This window comes from Homo sapiens, chromosome 5 (assembly GCF_000001405.40).
Source record: "Homo sapiens chromosome 5, GRCh38.p14 Primary Assembly".
NCBI classification, from domain to species: Eukaryota; Metazoa; Chordata; class Mammalia; order Primates; family Hominidae; genus Homo; species Homo sapiens.
In genome coordinates this window covers 110,877,175-110,883,852 of record NC_000005.10, presented here as the reverse complement: position 1 = coordinate 110,883,852, position 6,678 = coordinate 110,877,175, and positions in this window count along the sequence as shown.

The following is a 6,678-nucleotide window of genomic DNA, read 5'->3' as shown; positions in this document are numbered from 1 at the left end:
GTTCAATTTACAGAAAAAAATGAAAAATACCCCTTTAACTTTAGCCAATATATTCACACACAGAATTTCTTTTACACGACTAATTTCTCATGAACTTTCTACACTTTGTTTAAACCTTCAGCTTTATCCTATCTAACTTAAAACAATCCTTTAACCCTTGAATCTGGACAAACAAACAAAAAACACATTCCCATGCCTTCTAATAATATTTTATCAAACGTACATTTCATTTTCCTCACATACCTTGCAACTAAAACTGTTTATTCAGTAGTCTCAATTATATGTTACAACGTTAACTCTTGGCAATTTTAATTTTTGGTGAAAAACCAGGTAAGTGAATGATTTTAATTATGTACTAGGTGTGGAGCTTAGGACACCAGATAGAAGTGCAGGTAAAGTCTGACTTTCCAGCATAGCCATGGGGCTTGGCTAACTTCACATGTCCCCAGGCCTTACCTAGAATCTAATGGCTCCAAAGCAGGTGATTTAAACAATTTTCAAACGCCAAAGAAGCAGTTTATCTCCTTAAAGCATTTAGCAAACCTAATATCTGACCTGCTTAATTTAGACCAAATCTCTTTATTTTACCAATGATCTTGAAAACTCTTTATTTCCCAAAGGTGAACTAAAAGGCATCACAGTTGTATTTTTCTGACAAAATATTTGATTTAAGCACTTATTGTTTTTAAGCCAATTAATCAGAACTCTTTCATATATAAACATTACACACATAACACATATAACAACACAGAGAGACAGAAGATCTAGTAATTGTAAGATTTTTCATTTGCAGTTTTTAAGTTTCTTTATTAGGTTACTGGATTCAGGGTGGTGTCCTTAGAAGAACAGAGCTAGGAAAACATGTAGTTTCTAGGGCCTAATAAGCAGTCACAGCTGGAAGGCAAAACAGATCCCAAAAAATTCTGGGAGTCATTTTCATACTGAATCCTGGATCCCCAAAAATGAAATGCTGAACAAGGCAGTGCAATGATTTTACCATGTGCTGTTGATCAGCCCATTCTGCAATCAGCCCATCCTCCATGGGAATCTTATCTCAGTGTGGGTCAGGATATTTCTATACTTTCTTGGTGGCCAAGAGCATGCTTCTCTGATCCAAACGTGGAAAGAGCAGAGTGTTCCCCCATAACTGTCACTTGCCATCCCTAAAGGTTTATTTCCTACCTACTTATTACACACCAAAGTTCTCTGATAATGTGAAGTAATTTCTGATGTCCCCACAACCCCCACCCCCTGCCCAAGTAAAAAACATCAAATACCACAATGAAAAATAAAACGGAGTCTTAGATGTTGAGGGAAATCTATCTACTTTCAATTCCTGGGGTTCCATGAGGAATATAGAGATTTTCTCTAAAATGTGGCACCGCCTTTGTTTTTCCCAAGGACATACGAGAGGAAATCCTCACCCAGTTTTTTGTTTCAGGGACCTGCAGCAAAGTTTGTAACTAACCAGTTTGCCAAGCTGGCTTGAACAGCAAGCTTATGGGGGTCCTAGGCCCGCATTCCATCCTATGGTACCCCTTTTTATGATGGAACAATGCAGAAAGACAAGCTTTTAGCACAAAGAATGCCAGATTTGCTACAGCTTAAGACTAGCCTCACAAATCCTTTCTTCCAATTAATCAAAACTTTGCGGAGGAGACAGTGATTTTTACCATTGCTACAACCAGTTTGCACAGAGAGAGAGGCCAGAATTCTGACTGGTAAGGAATCCTTACCCTTTTGCTGGCATGCCAGGTTTCTGGGTGACCTTCCCTGAGTGGCCGTAGCAACCCTGCTAGATGCTCCAGAGCCATGGGTCCCAAGCCACAACACAAAGGAAAATCATCTTTTTTGGTTTCATGGAACCATAGGCAATCTCTCAATTTTGTAAGTTGCCACCCAACCGACTACATAGGAGACCCAAATTAACATTTTCCATTCTAGCCAGGGCAAAATACGTGTGACAAAACATTAACCACTCTGCTTAGTGCCCAATATCAACTGGTTAGGCTTAAACTTGTTCCTGGTTGGGCTCCGTCATCTTTAGTCCACTCAAAGTGGATTAAATGAGTTTCAGCATGTGTTCTCTGGGCAAGATGGTCACCCTGAGTAACAGAAAAGATAGAAAAGGGAAAGGAGAAAAAGAGAGAGAAAACATTGCCTGTGTTGGGGTAGGTATAGCAGAGATCTCAGGGAGGCCAGAGAAAGACCTACCCACTGCAGCAACACTGATTTAAAGATCAGATGGCCACTTGTCAGTCATAAAAGGGATCTTTTCCAGCAGTCCCATCAGCTCTCAACTTTTCCCCTTTGGGGAGAAAAATGTTCCCCATGTCTCATTCCTATACATGTCTAATCCTGTCACCCATAGCCATCAGCAAAAAGTGCAAGGCAGATTAATCCAAAGAGAATAGCAGTTAACATCCCATAGTGCCAAATCCCTTTTTAACCAAGAGGGACTTTACTGAGGGGAGGGCCTGCAATCCAATTCCACCATTTACCCAAGTAAAATGTACCCCACTACTTACCCAAAGTCAGCCAATTGGTGTGAAGTCTTGTTTCCTTTGGATTGGGGTAGTAACTAAGCCAAAGGTTAGTAGACATTTTTTTAACCAATTAGTCGCTTAAGGTTTTTATTTGCCTTTCATAAAGTTTTTAAATAAAAATACTGAAAATTTTTTAAGAAGCTTCTGCAAATCAATAGGCATCCCTAGATGAGATTAATTTGGGAGCCCGTCTTTTCCTTTTCTGTTTTTTGTTTGCGGGTTTTTTTTTTTTTTCTTAGAGTCTCGCTCTCTTGCCCAGGCTGGAGTACAGTGGCACAATCTTGGGGAGCCCTTATTTTCAAATACACTTCAGTGCAGTGCTGTTCATTTGGAATGTTCCACTGTAAGTTATCTTTAGTAAGATTTTGCCATTTCTGTAAGACTTCATTGCTTCCTGGGCCGAATACTTATGCATGTTTAAGCCAGAAGGAACTCATTTCTTCAGAAATTAAGGATCCCATTTTTACCTCAAATATTGGCTTTACTCTCAGGTTACCTTGATCACCTCACACAGTGATATTTTTCCTGCCTGAGCACACAGTAAAAATGAAAACAAGAGGTTAGAACACAAAAATCTCTGCGAATTTCCATTGCCATTTACAACCAGTTTCTTTCTGACTCACTCAGATGTAAGAGGCCTCTAACTGGATCCAAGCCAGTTAATTACTGGAGCCAATCAGATCCTGGACCCAGTCCAGTTTCTGTCATGACTTCCAAACCCAGTTTGGATCAGAAATTTGTTCAAGGAAACTTGGATCAAAACACAAATCTGGCCCATGGTGACTCATGCCTGTAATCCCAGCACTTTGGAAGACTGAGGCGGGCAAATCACTTGAGGTCAGGAGTTCAAGACTAGCCTGGCCAAAATGGCAAAACCCTATCTCTACTAAAAATACAAAAAAAAAAAAAAAAAAAAGCCGGGCATGTTGGTGGGTGCCTGTAATCCCAGCTATTCAAGAGGCTAAGGCAGGAGAATTGCTTGAACCCAGGAGGCAGAAGTTGCAGAGAGCAAAGATCACACCACTGCCCTCCAGCCTGAGCAACAGAGTGACATCCCATTTCAAAAAACAAACAATAACCGCAGCAAAAATTAAAACACAAATCTGTGGAGCTTTGGAATCAGAGAATCCAAATACCAGGAGAATACCAGGCTCCCCAGCTGCTCTGGGAGAGAAAGGGACACAGTGGGCCTGGCGGGTAGCTTGCTTGGTTGCTCAGTGCTCTCGGGGGTCATTAGAAGCTCTACTTGGGATCCTACTTCTGATGCTGTCTGATGAAAGAAGAACTTCAGCAAAATTTAATTTAAAGGAGTTTAACTGAGCAATGAATGATTTGCGAATTGTGCAGCCTCCTAAGCCAGAGTATGCCCTGAGATTCCAGTGCAGCCACGTGGTAGAAGATTTATGGACAGAAAAAGGGAAGTGAGGTACAGAAAATGGAAATGAGGTACAGAAACAGCCAGATTGATTACAGCTCAGTGTTTGCCTTATTTGAACACGATCCAAACACTTGTCTACATTGATTGGCCAAACATCAGTTAGTGGCAGAAGTGTAGGCTATGGTCTGTTTACACCTCCGCTTGTTATAGTTCACAATGTACAGAGAAACCTTTAGGCCAAACTTAAATATGTAAGGAGGCAGCTTTAGGCTAAACTTGATTTAACAGTACTTAATAATATAGCCTAAAAATATGTAAAACAAAATTTGAGAGTCCTTCAGGGAGGAATACTGAAATCCACAATCATCATGGGCTCTTTTGACAAAGTGCTCTCAGTATCTAGGAGAAAAGCAAACAAACGAATCAGTGTACATAAGGAATACTTAAGCAACATTGTTGACAAACTTTTCTAAGTAGATACATGTTAGAACACTGCATGAACAATTACATATTACGTATTATTTACAAACACAAAAATTTCACAATAAATTGACCCTGTACAGTCAAAAAGCTGAAATCATATAGAGTATGTTCTCTAAAGTTAAAATGGAAATGAATAACAGTCTGGGTGCAGTGGCTTATTTCTGTAATCCCAGAACTTTGGGAGGCTGAGGTAGGCAGATCACTTGAGGTCAGGAGTTTGAGACTAGCCTGGCCAACGTGGCCAACCCTGTCTCTACTAAAAGTACAAAAATTAGCTGGGCATGGTTGCGCCCACCTATCGTCACAGCTACGCGAAAGGCTGAGACATGAGAATTGCTTGAACCCAGGAGGCAGAGATTACAGTAAACTGAGATCGCACCGCTGCCCTCCAGCCTGGGCAACACAGTGAAACTCATCTCAAAAAAAAAAAGAAATGAATAACAAAATCATAACTAAAATATTGCCGTATGTTTAAAAATTTTTAAATCTCTTCTATTTCATGGATTCAGTTTTAAAATACTGGCAGATGCAGGATGCAGAATCCACATACAATAATTAGTAGTATTTCTGTATAGCAACAGTGAGCAATGTGAAATAGAAATTTTAAAAAGTAATCCCATTTATAATATCCACAAATAAAATTAAAATGCTAGGAATTTATTTAACCAAAGAAGCAAAATTCTCTATAATGAAAATTATAAACTGATGAAAAAGATTGAAGAGGACAATAAAAAATGCAAAAATGTTCCAAGTTCAAGGGTTGGAAGAATCAATATTGTTAAAGTGTCCATACTACCCAAACCAATCTACAGATCCAATGCAATCTCTATCAAAATACCAATGTCATTTTTCAAAGAAATAGAAAATAATAATCCTAAAATTTATATGGAACCACCAAAGACCCAGAATGTCCAAAGCTATCTTAAACATAAAGGACAAAACTAGAGGGATCACATTACCTGACTTCAAATTATACTACAGGGCAACAGCAACCAAAACAACATATTACTGGCATAAAAACAGACACATAGATCAATGGAACAGAATAGAGAGACCAGAAACAAATCCATAAACTTAGAGTGAACTCATTTTAGACAGAAGGGCCAAGAACATACCCTGAGGAGAAGACAAGTCTGTTCAATAAATGGTGCTGGGAAAATATCCATATGCAAATAATGCATCACCATATGCAAAACTCAAATAATGAATCACCATATACAAAACTCAAATCAAAATGGATTAAAGGCTTAATCTAAGACCTCAAACTATGAAATTACTACAGGAAAACATTGGAGAAAATTTCCAGAAAGTTGGTCTGGGCAAAAATTTCTTGAGCAATACCCCATAAGCACTGGCAATCAAAGCAAAAATGGACAAATGGAATCACATCAAGTTAAAAACCTGTACTGTGTAGGAAGCAATCAATGAAGTGAAGAGACAACCCACTGAATGGGAGAAAACATTTGCCAAGTACCTATCTGACAAATGAATAATAACCTGAGTATATAAGGAGCTCAAACTCCTAATGCAGGAAAAAATTTAATAATCTAATCAAAATGGGCAAAAGATTTGAATAGACATTTCCCAAAAAAAGACATACAAATGGGAAACAGGTATGTGAAAACGTGCTCAACAGCACTGATCAACAGAGAAATGCAAATCAAAACTACAATGAGATATCATCTTATCCTAGTTAAAATGGTTTATCTCTGAAAGACAGACGATAACAAATGCTGGTGAGGCTGTAGATAAAAGGGAAGCCTTTTACAGTGTTGATGGAATGTAAATTAGTACAATTACTATGGGGAACAGTTTGGAGGTTCCTCAGGAAACTAAAAATACAGCTACCATGCAATACAGCAATCCCACTGCTGGGTACATACCCTAAAAAAGGAAATCAGTATATCAAAGAGATATCTGCACCCCCATGTTTGTTGCAGCACTGTTTACAATGGCTAAGATTTGGAAGCAACCTAAGCATCCATCAGTCCAGATGAATGGATAAAGAAAATGTGGTACATACGCACAATGGAGTACTATTCAGCCATAAAAATGATGTCCTGTCATTTGCAACAACATTAATAGAACTGGAGATCATTATGTTAAGTGAAATAAGCCAGGCACAGAGAGACAAAATTTTCCTGTTTTTACTTATTTGTGGGAACTAAAAATAAAAACAATTGAGCTCATGAACCTAGAGACTAGAGGATGGTTAACAAAGGCTGGAAAGGGTATTGGGGCCTGGAAAGACAGTAAGGTGAGGATAGTTAG